The 19,999-nt window shown below is 38.8% G+C and overlaps 1 protein-coding gene across 15 annotated transcripts in view, besides 1 other annotated feature; it reads left to right on the forward strand.

Moving 5' to 3' along the window:
* GPATCH2L (G-patch domain containing 2 like) overlaps positions 1–19,999 on the forward strand; it is an 83,634-nt gene that overhangs the window by 45,109 nt on the left and 18,526 nt on the right. For 4 of the 15 annotated variants that reach the window (XR_001750415.2, XM_047431558.1, XM_017021431.2 and 1 more), the window contains one exon: positions 2,850–3,278. The exons of 3 other annotated variants lie outside the window; for them this stretch is intronic. Coding sequence is in view for 10 of the 12 variants with exons in the window: in XM_047431558.1 (XP_047287514.1) it covers positions 2,850–2,905 (56 nt within the window). In the remaining 2 variants the exon portion in view is untranslated. Of the gene's footprint in view, positions 1–638; positions 2,503–2,849; positions 3,279–4,660; positions 17,314–19,999 lie in introns of those variants that run through there. 8 more of the 15 variants (XM_017021428.2, XM_017021427.2, NM_017926.4 and 5 more) reach the window with 3 other exon arrangements.
* Positions 6,264–6,693: an enhancer, noted in NCBI's record as "active region_8767". NCBI's record gives its function as "activates an Ori minimal core promoter by ATAC-STARR-seq in GM12878 lymphoblastoid cells {active_cell/tissue: GM12878}" and the evidence as "EXISTENCE:reporter gene assay evidence [ECO:0000049][PMID:35858748]".

The following is a 19,999-nucleotide window of genomic DNA, read 5'->3' on the forward strand; positions in this document are numbered from 1 at the left end:
TAATCTTTGCAACAGCCTTATAAGGTAGATGCTGTTTTTATTCCCAATTTACACATGAGAAAACCAAGGCTTAAATCACTTCCCTGAGGCCACATGGTTGATAAATTGCAGAGCCAAGATCAGACCGGTTTCCTTGTGACTCTAGAGCTGTCCTGCAGATGTTCTTCTTTTTATATAAAACAAGATCAAGTCTAGACTATGACTGTGCATCAAAACTCAGATCCTCATTCAGTCTATGGTATTGGAAGCATTAAAAGAAAACCACCCCTCTTTCATCTTTTTGTTCTTTTTTTCTCCTTAATATCTAGCTTTTATTTTTAGCTTTTAATTGTTTATAAGAGAGGAACCACTGGAAAGAGTTTAAAATCCTTGTTCCATTTTCAGGTTGGGAAGTGTACGTGTGTGGGGGTGGGTATTAAACAAGACTTGAGCATTAAGCATTTCCCCTCCTGAGCCCAGCTCCTTTCCTCACTTGTTGACTAAGCCCTGCTTCACTGAGCATTTTCTTTTTTTCTGCCCACAACCTGAGTGCCCCATGGAGGTGAAGGACATAGCCTGAGTCTGAGCCATCAGTCAGTAGAACAAATGGGCTTGCTCTGCCTAACATCGGGCCATCTCGGATTCCACCTCTTTTATAGGAATGAGTGATGAAGAGAGGTGGGTTCCGCTTTGCCGCTGTATTAATACACATCAGGGGCCAGCTCCTAGCACTAAATCACGCTACGGCATACATCTGTTATCGGACTCTTCACCAGTGTGATGAACAAGACTGCAGATAGAGGCTTCCTTGTGTCATTCTTTATAGGATTTTCCTAAAAGAATAAATAGCTCAGATCTCTGCCAACACTCTCCCCTGTCACTGTGATGAATTCAGCTTCTTTCTTAAACATGCAGCCACAAATCTTTTCCCTTTTTCCCCTCCCCCAGTGGTAGAAAGTTTTGAGTTGCAATTGACTGAATTTAAAGATATTAATAAGGCTAGAGAGGTGAAGAGCAGGAAGAAACAGCATGTCTTCCTTGCCTTTTTGTACTAATAGTAACAAAAGGCCAAGGAAAAAGACTGTAAATGACCATAGGTTGTTAAATAGACCCATCTTGAAAGTGTAGCACCTTTATTTTCTTTGTATCTTCATTCTCCCTCCTTTACGGCTTTCTAGCATGCAGGTGTCTAGTGCACAGAACCACACCCTGGATCTTAGTGAGCAAGCATGCTAACCTGCTTCTCAGACTTGATACACCAGAACAGGGATTTCCCTGCAAGTGTCTCCCTCATGCTGAAGTGAACTAGCTGAATATGCTCTTAAAGAAAGTAGTCAGAAAAGAAAAAAAAGATTATCTTCTCCAAAATTTGAGACCAAGTAGCTGTAAAAAACATAATAAACCCAGATGAAAACCAGGCTTCGTTTTCTTGAAATGATTTTCTTCATCAGAATGGTAGATCAGAGCCATTGGTGTGCAGATTCCAATCCTTTAAAAAGTAAACACATGCCTTTTGATAAAGCGGAATTGAGGTGATCAGAAATTCTGTTGAGAACCCAGCTATTTGTGTGAGTATATTTTAGCTATCCCAAAAACTTTTTCTGACCTTTCTCTTTCTGGGATAGGATATGTGTGCTTAGAGTATCATTCAGAAGGGTACCTAATAGTTAATCTGTTAATTAGTTACATCAGGTTTCAAATACTAGGTCAGTGATATGAGAGCGAGAGAGAGAGATTTGAATTGTCAAATGTATTGTCAGATGCATTCACAAGAGCAGGACTGCTTATCTGTTTTGTTCACTACTGTACCCCTAGCATCTAAATGAATACCTAGCCCATAGAATAAACCCACTGGTTATTTGTTGTAAGAATAAATTAATAGAATCTTAAAGTTGAAACAGAGTGATTCCTAATATATTGTAACCACATGGTTGGATTCAGTAGTTCCATTTTAGGATGTCCCTTTTCTCAGGAGTCATAGGGCAAATTCTTATTGCCCACTGTGTCTTTTTAAAGTTTAAATGTTTTTTAAAATTAAACATGTTTCTTAGTAAATATTGAAGGGGTATAAAAGAACATTTATAGCAGATATGTAAGGAGTAAATAAAATACAGCAAATATCCACGTACCTACCATTCACTTTAAGAAAAAGTTAAAATTTTCTTTTATAAAAGGTTTAAAAGTTTTAAAAAGTTAAAATCTTTAAAAATCTTCTCCCTGCTCTCCTCAGAGGTAAAAGTTATTCTGATTGTTTTTTATCGTTTGTCATTCTTTTGTTTTTTTCAAGTAGTTTTAGCAGACATATGTATCTTCAAGCAATACATTGTCCAGTTTTGTGTTTTTGAACCTTGTGTATATGAAATCAAAGTATGTCATATTTTATGTTGCAGCTTTCACCGGGTTCTGTTTTTGAGATTCAATTATGCTTTGTCCTGCCAAAATCTATGTTTCAACTGCCATGTATGTGGTATTCTATTGTATGAATATGATTAATATGTTATAATTAAATGTTCTTGATGAACATTTGGATTGTATTCCTGTTTTATGCTATTATGGAAAATACTGCACTGTTCTCTGAGAGAACAAGTGCAAACATTCTTTTAGGCCACTTCCTGCTCATTAGGATGGCTATATCAAAAAACAGAGAACATCAGGTGTTGGTGCAGATGTGGAGAAATTGGAACCCTTGTGTAGTGCTTGTGGGAAGGTAAAATCATGCATTGCTGTGGAAAACAGCATGTAAAAAAACAGTTCCTCAAAAAGTTAAACACAAAACTACCATATGATCCAGCAGTTCTGTTTCTGTGCATATACCCAAAAGAATGAAAAGCAGAGACTCAAAATAGATTTTTGCATACCTTTGTTTACAGCAGCATTATTCACAGTCGTCAAGGTGGAAACAAATCACATGTCCATTGCTGGATGAATGGATGAACACAATTTGCCGTATATATACAATGGAATATTATGTAGCTTGAAAGCCTTTCTTATTCAGAATGAAACTCTGCCATGTGCTACAAATTGGATGAAGACATTTGCTAAGTCAAATAAGTTAGACACAAAAGGAGAAATATTGTGTGATTCCACTTTTATAAGCTACTAGAATAGTCAACTTCATACAAACAGAAAGGAACATAGTGGTTGCCAGGGGCTAGGGGAAGAGGGAAATGGGGGGAGTTATTGTTTAATGGGTACAGAGTTTCCATTTGAGATGATGAAAAAGTCCTGGTGATAAATAGTGGTGACAGTTATACAACAGTGTGAATGTACTTAATGCGACTGAACTGTACAGTTAAAAATGGATAAGATAGCAAATTTTATGTATATTTTACTATAATAAAAAATAGCAAAAAAGTTTTTCTAGGGTAGTGCTTTTTTCACTGCAGTTTGGTGACCATGTAGGTACAGTTTTTTGAAATTTATTACCAGTTAAATATGAGTGAGTATATGTGCCTGAGTTTGTTGTGAGTGTGTGTGTATGAGAGAGAAAAAGAGAGAGATTTGAGTTGTCAAATGTATTTCCTGCTGCTGTGGTGACGTTCCAAAATGTTTGAAAGCTGTTGCCCTCAAGAAACTCTTGTATATAGAGTAACAGCTTTCAAGATATTTTTACATTAGCCCACAATAAGAAATTCATGTTTGAATATGTGCGTTGGTTGTACATGTAAATCTGAAATAAATCTTGGGTACATGCCGATACTTTCTATTTTTTTCATTGAGTAAAAAAAGTAATGGCCATGACCCACTAAATTGATTTTGTGATCCACAATTTGAAAATTACTGTTTTAGGTTACGTTTCTGGGACTGGAATTATTGGGTGACGGTAAAATCCAAACTTCCCTAGATTTTGCCATATTTTAGTATATATTTGTTCTCAGCAGAGTGGGTAGAGATGATGGTGGTTTGTGCCACTCCACTCAGGGGCATTTGGAAATGTGAAGTAAATGTTTGTTTGTCACAATGACTGGGGAGTGTTCCTGGCATTCAGCAGATAGGATCCAGATCGGTAAGTGTTCTGAAGTATACAAGACAGCCCTGCACAAGCCATGTCTCCTGTCCAGAATGTCTTTAGTGATCTTATTGAAAAATATTGGGCCTGATTGTGCTCTTTTTCTACCATTTTCCTTGTTGTATGGTATATATTTATTGGTAACACTGCCCTATCGGAGGCATGGGTTGTGGCAGGAAGAGCGTGGGGTTTAGAGTCCAGTATGTGTGCTTGAATCTTGATATTTAACCAGCTCTGTTTTATCCCTGAACAATTTATCTGATCTCTGTATACCTTAGCTCCCTGATCTAGAAAGTGGAGATCACTATGAGTCATCTCTATGAGCATCTATGAGTAAGGGTTTGCATTAACAAGATCATGAGTATTCATTGTTTAAGCAATACACACATAAGTACGTAATAAGTGATTTTTACTACATTATGAATGCGTGCTACTGAATTTATTTGTTCAGTTGAACCCATTTTCTCAGATTAGGAAATACTATCTTATTTAAATCTTGTCTTTACTTTTTTGTAGAGAAGAAAGAGATACCTTACGTGGCCACTTGGGTTACTAGGACATGAAGTATAAGGATTAAGAAAATTTTTTTTCTAAGTATCTCTCATTCTAATTTGTCTTATTCTAATTTATCTCCCCTTGATGTTTTGCTCCTCTCTGTTGTAACCTTACTAGTTCACATGGATGCAGTGGAGCCAACCACACCAGCATCACAAGCCCCCAAATCACCCAGCTCTGAGTGGTTGGTGAGGACCTCTGCAGCAGAGAAAGCCACAGACGCAACTACTGCTACATTTTTTAAAATGCCACAAGAAAAGAGCCCTGGATACAGCTAGAGAGCAGGACTTCACCCTCCAGGAGCTGACTGGGTGTTGCTGAAGCAAATGTTGGACTTTGTGTTAGATAGTCTTGCATATCTTAATCGACATTCCCAGTCCTTTCACCACCAGAACCAACTCCTCTTTCAAACACAGCAGTGGATTCTTTCTCTCAGAAGATCATGTTGTGGGAATCTTTTTTTTAAATAGTGAAATATTGAGGCAGCAATTTTTTACAAAAAGGTCATCCTCTGCTCTATTTGTTACCTTGTTATTGCTGTCTCAACATTTACTACAGCTCCATTTACAGAACTGTTGCTTTTTTGCAGTTGTCTTTGTTCTTGAAAAACCAGTAACTGCTTCTGCATACCTTTTGTGTAGAGCTTTTAATATCATTTGAGGAAGTTCCAAATTTGTAGCCAGTTCCAAACAAATTTAAATATTGAGTTGAGACCTGTATGGAATTGTGTTCGCAGGAGATAAGGCTTGCCTTTGAGCCTACTCTTGATTCATGCAGAGTGCCAATAAGATAAATCAACCAAGTTTTGGGGCCTCAAAAGAGACACCAGCAACTGGGCCTTGAGAACTTCCATTTTTTTGCAGATTGTCTGCAGAAACTCAGACAGCTCATCAGCAGCAGCAGCTGTATTGTATTTTACCTCATCTTCAGAGTTTATGTTCTACTGAAAGAGGACGTGTGTATACACACACACACACACACACACACACAGATTGGTATAATGGAGAAGATGGTTTAGGTGTACAGCAAATTTAAAATAGTCAGTGGATTGTGTCTTACTACTTCATGTCCCAGTGTAAGCCTTTATGTCCTAAGCAGGACTTTATTGTTAGTATTATAGGCTAATAACCTGCAGCAGAAATTCATACTCTATTATAATAATGGCTTCTTGGGGCCATGCTTTGGGGAAGTAAAATGTCTTTTTGACATGCCTTTATACTTGGCGTGTTTATGATGGCTCAGCTGCATGTGGAGTTATATATACAGTCGTGCCTGAAGTTGGATGCTACTTTGTCAAAATGAGAAATAAGTGATGGCCTGGAGCTGCTGGAGAGAAGCCACGCTTTCTAGAAAATATTATCAGGAGTGTCTGTCATTCATTCAGGGGCCTAGCTGACAGAAGGGCTCTTTTTTTTATACCAATGAGTGCGTTTACTCTGAAATACATAGAAGCTCTTGGTGAAGTGCTCCCTGCTCTGGTCACATTGTAGAGGGACTCCCACTCATGCATCTGCTTATTTTCTGTCTTAAATAGGTGCTGAATGGGGCAGCACCTCCTTCCCCCAAAGTGCGATTGCCCCTGTTTCCCATACGAAGTGTAATGACGGGTTGCTTTTAAAATTATAGTCCTTATCAATGGAAACTCCAGATTTCTTTATCAAAGGGAGGTGGGTGGGCATGAATCTAGTTGGAAAAGGGGACTTGAAGCTAAGTTTACATGGCACTTTAAGACTGAGAACATATCAATTGTTCATAATCAGGAATATGGTAGAGGGAGAGCAGGTGTAGATGATGGGACGGGAAAGTGCTGAAACCAGCCCAGCAGACCTGTGAGTCGCCTCTGGTTCTCACGCAGCAGTGTGTGTGTGCTCACAGGGATGTTCCACCCCTGGTTCTCATGCAGTAGTGTGGGAGAGTGCTGAAGCCGGCCCAGCATGCCTCTTAGTTGCCTCTGGTTCTCATGCAGCAGTGTGTGTGCTTACAGGAGTGGAGATGATGGGATGGGAGAGTGCTGAAGCTGGCCCAGCATGCCTCTGAGTCACCCCTGGCTCTCATGCAGCAGTGTGTGTGCTTACAGGGACTTCCCAGGCTGCACTTCCCTTCCCTGTGGGCTGCACCCGTAGAAGTATAGAAAATGTAATGTCTGTTGAATATAAAATCGTACCACTGAATTGTTCTAGTGATGAGGTTAGATTTTGTTGTCATGTGCATTGTCACCATAGTGACCCGTGGCATATATTTTTAACATACTTGGTTGGGTTTGAGAGAAATCTGTGGACGTAATTTTTTGTTTGTGTCAAGCTCTATGACTCATGCAGTGATTGGTCCCATGATCATGGCCTATTAGTGAAAACCTCCAAAGGTCAGGTGGCCAAGGTGTTCCCACATTTTTTCTATATAACTTGTTTCCTAATAGTCTGCCTTTCTACCTATGATTAAAAATAATTTTTATATACAACATTATTTACATTTCAAACATCTCTACGAAGTCATGCCATTTTAAGGAGATGAAAACAGCCACAGAGTTGAGTGACTTGCTCCAAATCACATAACTAAGCCAGGACTAGAATCCCAGACTTTCAGATTTTCTCTGCCCTGGGTTATAATCTCTTGTTTTTCAGTGATAGACCTGAGTCAGTCTGAGATGCTTATTTATGAAACAGTATACCATGAATATTTATTATCTTTCTTGGGCATGCTTTTCTACACATTTTGAATACTTTCAACAGGGATTACCCAAGAATGCAACATCTACCTGTAATAAATGGGGAGAAAATTAGTTGCCTGAGAGAACAGAATATTAAGCACACAAATACTTTCCAACACAGGGTTGTAAATTGTGCTCCTCATTTTAAGGTGCTGTACGTGCATGTTTAAGGAATTATTAATCAGTGTATTCTGCTTGCTTTCTGTATTAACCAGTTCCAGAGGATAGCCTTAGAAATGAGTGTATTTTGAATCTTAAAGTTTCTTTATATGCGGCACAGTGTATAATGTCGTAAGTTAAGAAAAATCTGTTATCTTTCAAAGAAGTTACGTAGTTTCAAAAATGAGGTTTTGTAATCAGTGTTGAAAAAACTCTGAACTATGACTTACTTTGAGGATGATCCTTGAGCTCATGTATTTGATCTGCTCAAAAGTAATAACTAAAGCTGAGTTAAACAGTTGTTATTTATTTCAGGGTTCTGATTTTTCCCAGCTGGCTACACAAATGGCCTGTCTGAATCCTAGTTTAGTGTGTTTTCCACGATGGGCAGAAGTCAGAACATTATCTGCTTCTGTGAGGATCATAATAAAAAGTTAGTTTTAATTACGAGTTTAAAGGAATTTTAGATTTTTTTCAGATGCAGTATTTTAAAGGAACAAAACTCCTGTGTTGCCTTTTGTTGTTGTTGTTGTTGTTGTTGTTTCCTAGAGACAGGTTCTTGATCTGTCACTCAGGTTAGAGTGCAGTGATGTGTTCATAGCTCACTGTAACCTTGAACTCATAAGCTCAAGCCATCCTCCTGCCTCAGCCTCCTGAGTTGTGAGGACTATGGAAGTGTGCCACCATGCCTGGCTAATTTTTTAAGTTTTTGGAGAGATGGGGTCTTGCTCTGTTGCCTATGCTGGTCTTGAACTCCTAACCTCAAGCAATCTTCCTGCCTCAGCCTCCCCAGGTGTTGTAATAATAGGTGCGAGCCACCATGCCCAGCCTTGTGTTGCCTCTTGGTAAGAAATAATAAAAAGAAATTAGTAGCTTGTTTACCTGGTACCAGATTTGGAGGGGGCTGAGTATAATTTTTACTGAGTGGTATGTGGTTGGAAAATAGGCCACATTTAGCCTTGAATTGTTTAGAAATCAAATGCGATTCAGAATTGAAGAGGACATTGCTGGGCTATGAAATAGGGTACTAACAAGGCTATTTTTGTAGCAAAATGGCCAAAAGCTGAAATAAATCTTCTTAGTCTGTGATGCTTGTAGCATCCTTTGTTAAGTAAAGCACAACACCCTGGACAAGCGACTAGTTATGACTTCCAAATAGATTGATAATAGCCTTGCATGTTGTAGTTAGAGACACTGTAGCTGTATCTGTATACCTGTAATATAGCCTGGGAAGTTCTGTTGCTGCAGAGTTATCATTAAAGTCACTTGGAATTGAAAAAGATACAGAGTGTTGAGACAAAGGAACTAGGCTGGCACAGTCATTGCTGATGCGATGGGTTCTCCACTTTGGCTCCAGGCGAAGGCTCCTGGTGGTGATGCATGATTGATTTCAGGTCTTTGTTTCATTTTGGCTTCATTACTGTGATTCTGAGCCACACAGGTTTTTCCCCCTGGGGAGAAGACTATGTAAAAATCTCAGCGTTAGAAGCTGTGTTCAGTGCCCTATATGTCTTGTGAACCTATCTGAGCTGGGCTGAGAGCAGAGTGGCTTACTGTAGCAGCTGTGGATGCAGTCTAGTTGGAGGCATGGCTTGGAGGACGTCATGGTTCATGCGATGGTTGGAGGGATGGTAAAAGCAGTTAGCTCTTGTCAGCTGCTTCCCTCTGCTAGTGCTTGAGCTGCCAATTTTATTTGTCAGTATTTCCTGATCTCCCACTCCTGTTGTGAAAGGTCACAGAGTTACTGTCACTGGCAACAATTTCGCCCCTTAGAAGAAAACTGGTACAGAGGGAAAGGGTGAGGAAAATGGTGAGTTCCATCACTCAGAACTAAATGCAAGTGGTAGAGAGATGCTTTCTCCTGTGTTAACGTCTCCAAAAGATGAACATCAAATGCCCGGAAACAGCAACATCAAAAAGAAGGAAGATGAGAAGTATTGTTGAAGAGTATGGACCTACAGGGTTTTTAACAAGTCCAGCAAAACAAACTATGGCCAAAAGAAGAAATTTTTCTGTCACTGCGAGTAGACATCATAAATGCTTGGTAAAATTGCCAGATTTAGGGAATAAAAAATTTTTAAAGTACAGTGTTGAAGAATGGGGCATGTCATGAAGACATTCAGCAAAGAAGCAATCTTGGCAAGGTGGAGAAGTGGGAAGCAATGGGGAGAGAAAGGGAGATGCCCAGAGCAGGAATTCTCAATGTGTGGTCCCTAGGCCAACAGCATCAGCACATCTTGCCCTCACCAGACCTACTGAATCCGAAACTCCCAGCGCAAGGCCCAGCAGTCTTCAACAAGCCCTCCAGGGGTCTTTGGTGCATGCTCAAGTTTGAGAACCATAGGCTTTGCCACGGTTAAAAAGATGTTTTAATGGACTGGTCTCCTCCTAAGCTCTGAGGTGCTCTCATATTCCCTCCATAAGTAAAGAGATTTTTTTTGTATAATTCTTTGCAGAAACTGTTAATGTCTTTATTTCTCATATTTTTTTTTTCCCCTACAAGCTCCTGAAAGATCTTTTTGAAGAATTGACAAAGGATGCTATCAAGGGCTATGTTTAGGTGGATGGAAATAACCTTTTGAAAATGGATAAAGCCTGGGTGTGGTGACTCACGCCCATAATCCCAACACTTTGGGAGGCCAGGGCGGGAGGATTGCTTTATTGCAGGAGTTGAAGACCAGCCTATGCAACACAGTGAGACCTTGTCTCTACAAAAAATTTTAAAAATTAGCTGGCTGTGGTGGTGCATGCCTGTGGTCCCAGCTACTTGGGAGGCAGAGGCAGGAGGATCACTCAAGCCCAGGAGGTTGAGGGTGCAGTGAGCCATGATCTGGCCACTGCACTCCAGCCTGGGTGACAGAGCAAGACCCTGTATCAAAAAATAGATAATAAAATAAAAATTGATAAAAATAGATCAATGAATTGTTAGTCTACGAATGATAGTCATTTTTCACAATTGGCAGTAAAAATAGGATTTGTGTAAGGTATGAGTTTACCATATTTGTTCATTAGATCTTAGTTTCAAGGGAAAGTATCATGTATTTTCCAGCATGATAATGATGAATCATTTAAAGTACGGCTCATAAAAATGAAAAAAAAAATTGGAAGAAAAAAACACCTTGGGTACATAGATGTGTAATAAATACCTGTTGAGTTATTGGTAATCTCTTGCTAGGACTGAATCTCAGTACTTCAGAGCATGTAAAAATCAATTTTCTGTGATCCCACTTAATCACACCGTGTTTTCTTTTTTTAGATTTCAGCTAGCAATTTTGCAGGGGTTGGAGACCAATAGCGATGTCATGCTTTTTGGTTGTTGTTATTGTCTGACTCGTGGATTCAGCATTTCAGAATATGGTACTCTAATCTTAAGGCTTTGAAAAGAAACCATGGCCATTTTTTCTTCATATTTTACCTTTATTAATTGGGCTGGGTCCTAACTGGTTGCCAGAGCCCAGAAATCCAAGTTCTGTCTTTTCAGGGAATATGCATAGCTAAAGAGTTCATTGTGTTTGCAAAGGTGTACTAGGAGTTCTCATTTCCTCAGATGCTCATGTCTGTAGGCTGTTAAGCTCTCATTTCAATTTTTGCAGTCTTTTAAAACACCACACTTCTTTTCCATCTTGAAGACCAGTTAAAACTACCTCTGGCCAAAAATGTTAGTGTTACTAGATATTATCAAGGTGTGAGACTAAAAAGTTAGAAGGCTTTAAGATGTAAATTATATAAGTTAATGTTTTCTTTCCCTAAAAGTTCTGACCCTTGCTGACCCCTCAATCAAATGTTTTTAATTGAAAGGGGAAAGAAAATATCAGAGAACTTAAAGATGGCCTTCGTGACTTTGACTCAAAATCAATGCATTTCATTATGTATGGGTCCTACACCTTGCTTCCTCAAGTGGCCATGAAAAAAAATCTCACGACCATGCAAACTGATGCCACCCCAAAGTCATGGTAACGATTTGAATTGCTCTCAGTATTGATGTCAAACTCCCTCCTGTTGTCAGCAGCTTATTGCAAACTGGCCATTCTAAACCCTTTTACCCCCACCTTCTCTCAATCTTAGCAGTTAATCTCAGCCCTCCCCCACCACATAACAGCCTCGGGCAGAACTTCCCACTTAGACACCCACACACACACACGCTTCCTTACCTTCTTGCCAGTGCCTGTCCTGCCCAAGACGAACCCCTTTTCCTGTGCCCTAGGACCTCTCCCTTGATAAATGACTTGATCTAGCTACAGCCTCACACTCCTGGCACATACAGCTTTGCATTTAAACATGTTCAGATACTCCTTCCTTCAAACAAAAGACCTTTCCTCAACCCTTTGAAAGCCTGAGTACCACTAAGGTATACTGCCCTTATCTGCACTCTGTCCATTCTGCAGTCTACCGAGGCAGTGGTTTTTAACCCTGGCTGCATGTTAGGGTCACCTGGGAAGTTTTAAAAAGTCCTAATTCCTGGACTGGACCACAGACCAGTTAAATCAGCATGGGGAGGTGGGGATGGGTTTCAGTCTTTAAAAAGAAATGTAGCTGAGGCTGAGAACCACCACTCTAAAACCTGGCTGCTACCCTTGCTACCATTAAAACTGTTCTTGCTGGATTCACCCACCAGTGACTTCTACTATTAAAATTTAGCCCATAGGTTGATTTTTATGACACTGATGCTATATAACCACTTCCTTCTTTGGAATGCTCCCTTTCCTGACCCTACTTTCCTGATTTTTCTGCCACTTCTTTGCTCTTTCTCAGTTTCTGTGGAGTTGTTTGGTAGGTCAGTCTAGCACAGACTGGATGCCGGTCTCTGCCGCCACCTCCGTTATTTCAGTGAACACCTGTATGCCAGTGAGTTCCTTTGCCATACCACCTTAATGCACCAACTTAAAAGCACAGATTAGAGTGGAGCATTCACATTTATTACTGCAGGCTTCTAGGAAAGCATATTAAAGGTCTCTGGTCCTTCTCTCACCTCCCTTGTTCCTCCTCCAAGCCCAGTGAGGTAGGAGGAATTGCTAATTAGATTAGTGAGATTCTAAGGTGGGTCACTCCTGTTTACTTATGAGTTGCTATTTATGAAAAGATGGCCTGGACTGTGTTCCCTCTTCTGCTTTCTCCTCTTCCGGGTCTTGGACTGGTAAGGGGGCCTGTGCCCAAAAGGGGCTCCTCCACCTAATGCTGTCTTTAATCTGTGGCTTTCTGCTGCTGGTTAATTTTTTAATTTGGCTTCCTCAAGCCTTTTTGGCCTTGAACTTCATGTTGATTTTTATCAAAGAACTTTTTATTGGGGCATCAGCACTAGCCCTATGAATACAGTGAAACTTGGGGTTCCACTTTCATCAGATGTGACCCTGTGTGTTCCTGATGTCTTTGAATCACTAGTTTCTGATTCAAAATATGGGGTAGGTGGATCTGATTAGTAGTCATATGCCTGTGTCCTGGCTAGGAAGTCAGAATGAGGTTATCTGGAAAGTTGAGCTTCCTCACACATGGGAAGGTACTTCAGATGCTGGACAGCCAATAAGAATAACAAAGGTCCACCAGAACCATTGCCCCAGTCACTGATTGAACAAACATTTACTGAACACTGATGAAGCGAAGTCCTCCTCAGGGACCTCTTAGGGAAGAGGGTAACTGCCCTAAAGCAGGATACTCCTGGGCTCCTTAGATATACTATCCTTGAAACTATTAGGCCCCTGTCCAGAGTACCTAATAATAATAATGGCAAATATGTATTTGGTGGTCTGCCATTTGGAAGCAACATCTCACTTATTCAACAACTCTAAAGGTAGGTACTTTTATCTCCATTTTAAAACAATGAAATACACTTACAGTTACAGACAAACTTGCTCGAGTCACATATCTATTAAGTGTCAGTCAAGATTCAGATTCAAGTCTGATGTTAAAGAGTGTCTGTTCCCAATCAATACCTCTGCTGCCTCTTTTTACAAACTGAACTGTTGGAGGGCATGTACATATGCATAAGCTGTGGGCCACTGGGCCATGGGCCAGTGTCTGATGAGACCTCTTTATTGACTTGTTTGTCCTGGTGGGCTGTTTCTCTACCAGGCAACTGTGAATGGGCTCATCCCTTCTCTGTGCGTACATGATTGAAAGGAGATAGCCGGTTTCTGTGACATCCTCTTATAACAACCTAGTTTTGTTCTTGAGAGTGACCAGAGCAAGAGAAAAGTCAATGAAATTTTGCAGATCTTGCAAACCTGTGGCAATAAGAAGGTATTATCCTTTCTGTACCAAGGCACAACTGATTCCTAAGTGAGGGGGATATGTGTTCTGAGATGTTAATGTTAGTGATAGACTGTTTTCAACACCTTGGTAAACATTTCTTTTGACTGTTAGCAAAAGCTGCCTTAACAGTCTTGGCTTTTAGAAATGCCCCTTCATTCATTAGATGTGTATGGAACACATCTTATGCCAAGCACTCTGCTAGGAGCTGGGTATACAGAGAAGAAAGGCATTCCTGCTCTCATGATGTTCATGGTCTTCTGCGGAAGAGACCAGAAAAAAAGTATTACAATGTAGAATGAAATAAGAATGACAGGGTATTTTGGCAGCAAGGAGGAGGGCACTTTAACTCAAACTGGGCAGTGGAAGAAGTAAAAAAAAACATTGAAAGAAATCCTGAAGGATAAGCAGGAGTTAAGAAGAGTGGATGAAGCCCTCCAAGGGTAAAAGCATGGTTTATTCAGAGCACTGCAAGTGTTTTAGTATGGCCCACATGTAAAGCTTACAGAGGAACAAAGAGAGAAAGGCAAGAGCCAGGAAGTGAAGGGTCCTGTGTATACTGGCTTACTTGTTGAGTTGGAGAACTATTGCCGTATTCCTCTGCTAAGCTCAGGGTGCATTCGTGGAAACCCTACTGCAACTGGCCCATTGTGCATACAAAGCTGGAACTGAGATGTGAACAGATTTGCATTGCCTTGATCACCTTCCGTGGGAAATATAGCTAGGCCCACTTATTGGTAGGAGCTACTGACATGTTAAAACTAGGTTAAACTGAATTGGAAGTAATGGTGTATTTGGAATCATGGCTGACTGATTCCATTACATGTTCTAGCATGATACCAGTCTGAGGTTATTCCCCTTGAACCACCGACTTAGTAGAGTTTAATGCACAATGTGATGGTCTTAGTTCCTTGTACTGTTCTTCAGTGTCAAAGTTGTTCAACTACCAGTTAAGTTTTTTGGGCTTTGTTTCTCAGTAGTGACAATAAATTTGTGTTGATCTATTTACACCTTTTGGACTGAACACCTTAGCAATCATTGATATTTTAAGCCTACAGGAAGTGCCCATGGGATAAAACCAATCTGCTGGCTCACACTAAGTTCTGATCCCATGATTTTGGTCTCATTAATACCGTGCTATAAATAAAGTTAGCTAAATCTTTTGAAACTGCATAAAAGTGAAATAATTATGAGTTTTGGGCCAACATTTTTCCTGAACAGCTTCTGACTGACCAGCATTTTAAATTAGGCGATGCAGTCTAGCTTTTGTACATAGAAATAAGAAAGTGACTTATGTTCCATTATTAAAATAGTATAGGGAGGACAGGTAAATTACTAATTTTTCATTGCTCATAGTAGAGAATTAAGGTATATTGACTAGTGAAATAGAGGATTATGGGGATCATATGAAAATATGATTAAAGAGATTATCACTAGAAGAAAAATTCAGACTGCTAATTATGAGAAAAAACATGTATGCACAACCAAACAAATCACAAAAATGAAAGATGTCTAAAACCATAGAATAGGAACAAATGTACCTGTCATATTAATAAAAGTAAACTTATCTGTAGATAAAAGGCAAAAATGTCAGCAAACACTAATTTCATGTTATAAGATTCAGAAAGGTTGAGCAAAAGTAAACCAAGCAAACACAAACAAGAAAATGAGTTGTAGTCTGCATATCAGGCAAGGTTGAACTTAGGGAAAAGGAACCGGAAAAAAAAAAACCAAAAAAAACCACGACATAATGCTAAAGGGTGTGACTCACGAGATAATGTTTCTAGATATCTGTGTACCAAATAATGGAAAACCATTTATGTATTGGAAACCATAGGAGACACAGGAAGAAACAAATACAATGTTAGTTGGATATTTTAATTCAATTCTGTCAATTCATGACAGATCAAGTGGATAAAAAACTAGGACATGGGATGATTTAAATAAGATACAGAAGATCTAGTTGATGCATATTAGACTTTACCCTAAAAGTGGTAACTACACTTCAAAGTATCCATGAAACATTTCCCCATTTGACTGTGTATTAGAGCGTACAGAAAACATAAGTTTCAGAACGGAAAAAAGGAACAACAGATGGCATTTGCTGATAAAAATGCAATAAACTTAGAATTTGAGGATAGGTGGTCAGAAAAAAAAATGCAATAAATTAAAGCCAGAAAACACTGCTCATCTGCAATCCAAAATGTTTTTAAGCTCTTCAACTATTCTTGGGTTGATTAGGAAATGCAAAGTATTAAAAAAACATTTCATATCTAAAATATAAACTTGTTCCTCTGAGATACAAATAAAACAGTGCTCAGAGGAAAATTCATTGCCCTAAAATTTATGTATTAAAAAATAAGATAAATGTCATATAACTCAAAATATTAGGAAAAGGAATCTTTTAAAGGCAGGCTAAAAGAATCAAGAAAAATTAATTAGAAAAATGAGGAAACAAAGCTAATTTTTAAAATATGTAGTAAAATATGTAACATTTTAGCTAACATTACAAGAGAAGACAAACACAAAATAAGAATTACCAAGTATTGAATAGGTAAGAGTCATAAAATATTCTTTGCTCAACTGTATGCAAACAATTTAAAAACTTGGATTAAATGGATAATTTTCCAGGAAGGTATAGTTTGCCAAAAAATGACATCAAAAGAAATCTAATATAACAATTGTCATAGAAGAAATGAAGTAAGTATTTCAATTAGCATGACAGACTAAATACTTTTAAAGACCCAATGAAAACAAAGAAATGCATTTGGAGAATTAACAGAAACTTTTTGTAACACCAATTTTTTATTTTACATTTTAAAGCATGGAATGGAATTTATTGTAAAGACGTGTATTTTATAGAATCCAAGCAAAAGCTCACCAGCCAGAGATAAAGTGAGGCCAGCTCAGGGAATGTGAGCAGTGGCGATTTATTCCCTCTGGTGTTCCATGTTAGCCTGACACAGAGCCCCCTCTTCACATTCTCAGGGGCTCTTGATCCAAAACCTTTTTTAAAAAAAATAATTTTAGACTTAACAGAAAATCTGCAAAAATAGATTTCCTGTGTGCCCTTCTCTCAGCTTCTTCTAATGTTAACTTACATACCAATGGTACAATTATTGAAACTAGGAAATTAACATTGGCACAATCCTATTAACTACATACTTTATTTGAATTGTAGCTGTTTTCCCAGTAATGTTGTTTTTCTGGTTCGGTATTCAATCCAGGATCCATATGTACTTGGGTCTTTCTGGGTTTTCTGTTCCACTGGTCTACTTGTGCATGGTACCACACTGTTTTAATTATAGAGACTTTATAGTATGTTTTAACAACTGGCAAGGCTAGTCCCCCTTATAATTTTTCCTATTGTGCTTCTGGCTATTCATACATGTTTGTTTTTCCATGTGAACTTTAGTATCAACTTGTCTAAATTCATTTTTTAAGGTACATTGGTATTTTATTGATATTATATGATATTAACTGATTTAGAGAGAACTAACATCTTTAAAATGTGGTGTCATCCTATCCAAGAATAGGAGATGTATTTCCATTTATTCAAGTCTATTTTGTGCCTTTTAGCAGTGTTTTAAAATTATCCTTGTGTAGGTTTTGTGCATTTCTTGCTAAGCTTATCCCTAAGTATTTAATTTATTTGCTAGTAAATGAGATTTCCTCTGCCATTATGTCTTCTAACTGGTTATTGCTCTCTATATAAAAGCTACTGATTTTGTATGCTAATATATCTTGCTACCTTACCTAATTTTTTTAAAAAAATAAACAACAGAAATTTATTTCTTATGGTTTCACAGTCTGGGAAGTCCAAGATCAGGGTGCTGGCTGATTCAATGTCTGGTGAGAGCTTGCCTTCAGGTTCATAGATGGCACCTTCTAATTGTGTCCTCACATGGTGAAGGGAACTAGTTAGCTCTCTGGGGTCTCTTTTATAAGGGCATAAATCCCAATCACTAGGGCTCCACCCTCCTAATCTAGTGACCTCCCAAAGGCCCTGTCTTCAATGCCAACACTTTGGGGGTTAGGATTTCCACCTGTTTTCGGGGGACACAAACATTTATACCATAGCAGTCAGTAACAAACTCTTTTTGTTTTGCAGCCAAAGGTCAGTCAGTTTTATCTTCTTAGCTTAGTATAATCTAAGCCCTAAAACCATGAAATGCATGGGAAAGGTTTTTTTTTCTCTTTTTCAACTTTTATTTTAGATTTGAGGGGTGCATGTGCAGGTTTGTTACCTGGGTATATTGCGTGATGCTGAGGTTTGGGGTATGAATGACCTGTTACCCAGGTACTGAGCATCCGTACAGAATTCTTTTACTTTTGAAGTTAGTTTTATCATTGCTCCTCTAGAAAAACAAACAAAAAAACCAAAAATTATTTCTAAACACCCAGAATAATAATAAGAAATGAAAAAAATCTATAGAAGTAAAAAATGACAGACATTTATGCAGCCAAAAAACACATGAAAAAATGCTCATCATCACTGGCCATCAGAGAAATGCAAATCAAAACCACAATGAGATACCATCTCACACCAGTTAGAATGGCAATCATTAAAAAGTCAGGAAACAACAGGTGCTGGAGAAGATGTGGAGAAATAGGAACACTTTTACACTGTTGGTGGGACTGTAAACTAGTTCAACCATTATGGAAGTCAGTGTGGCGATTCCTCAGGGATCTAGAACTAGAAATACCATTTGACCCAGCCATCCCATTACTGGGTATATACCCAAATGACTATAAATCATGCTGCTATAAAGACACATACACACGTATGTTTATTGCGGCATTATTCACAATAGCAAAGACTTGGAACCAACCCAAATGTCCAACAATGATAGACTGGATTAAGAAAATGTGGCACATATACACCATGGAATACTATGCAGCCATAAAAAATGAGGAGTTCATGTCCTTTGTAGGGACATGGATGAAATTGGAAATCATCATTCTCAGTAAACTATCGCAAGAACAAAAAACCAAACACCACATATTCTCACTCATAGGTGGGAATTGAACAATGAGAACACATGGACACAGGAAGGGGAATATCACACTCTGGGGACTGTGGTGGGGTGGGGGGAGGGGGGAGGGATGGCATCGGGAGATATACCTAATGCTAGATGACGAGTTAGTGGGTGCAGCGCACCAGCATGGCACATGTATACATATGTAACCTGCACAATGTGCACATGTACCCTAAAACTTAAAGTATAATTAAAAAAATAAAATAAAAATTAAAAAAAATGACATGAAAGCTTAAACCTGGGAAAGCAAGTAAGACAAAAGCCATCTTTTACCTTGAAGATCAGGGTAAGCCCTGATTACCCTGAGCCTCTGTTGTGCTGACTGAGATGGATGCAGGAGGTAAAGCAGGGCCTGCTCAAGGCAGGAAGTTTAATCTGAGATCTCCCACAAAGTGGGGACCCTCCAAGTGCTACCCTTACTGTGTAAAGGTAAACACTAAATAAGCCACCAAGCAGAAATAACAGCAAGGAAAATTGCCTTTCTTGACCTTGGCCCTGGGTGGAGGAAAAGCTGTTCCTGTCTCACCAACCTAAAAATGTTTAACAAGTTGTCCCTTACATAGAGAGTTGGGCCTCAAATTTATGCTACTTGTATGTTGCAAAATACTGCATGAGGAAATTTAATTTACAGTAGACCCAAGCCAGTTGTAACCCCAGATAACTACTAGAAGCAACCACAAATTCTCTCTGGAGGAATGAGCCTTCAATCCAGGTATCAGATAACTCTCATAGATAAAGTTATGAATATGAACAACTTAAGCCAATATATTTGAAAGCTTAGACAAAATTCCTAGGGAAAATAATTTCTCAAAACTCATTCAGGGGAAATAGAATGCTTGATTAGTTTTGTAACATTAAACAAATTTAATAAGTAGTTTAAAATCTGGGCCTGTGTACTCTGCAGAAAGATTTTATGGGACCCCCACAATGCCATCAGTTTTTTTTCTGGAGCTTGACACATTGATTGTAAAGTTCATTTGGAAGAACAAATGAACAAGAGCAGCCCGAGGAAAACCTTTTAAGAGAGCACTTGGTAGGAGGAGGGCTAGTCCCACTACATATTAAAACATAAAACACAACTCTGAAAGTGTGGTATAGGTGCATGCATAGATTAATGGAACGATATAGAAAATTCTGAAACAGGCCCAATTGCATATGAAAGTTCAGGATACAATAAAGGTGGTGCCCTAAGTCAGTGGGGGAAAAGATGGATTATAAAAATGAAGGGTGTTGAGATAACTGGATATAGTTATATAGCTACATATAAATATATAGCTATACAGGAAAAAGTGGATCTGTTTCTCACAC

The sequence above is a fragment of the Homo sapiens genome, chromosome 14, assembly GCF_000001405.40.
Source record: "Homo sapiens chromosome 14, GRCh38.p14 Primary Assembly".
In the NCBI taxonomy this organism is placed as follows: Eukaryota; Metazoa; Chordata; class Mammalia; order Primates; family Hominidae; genus Homo; species Homo sapiens.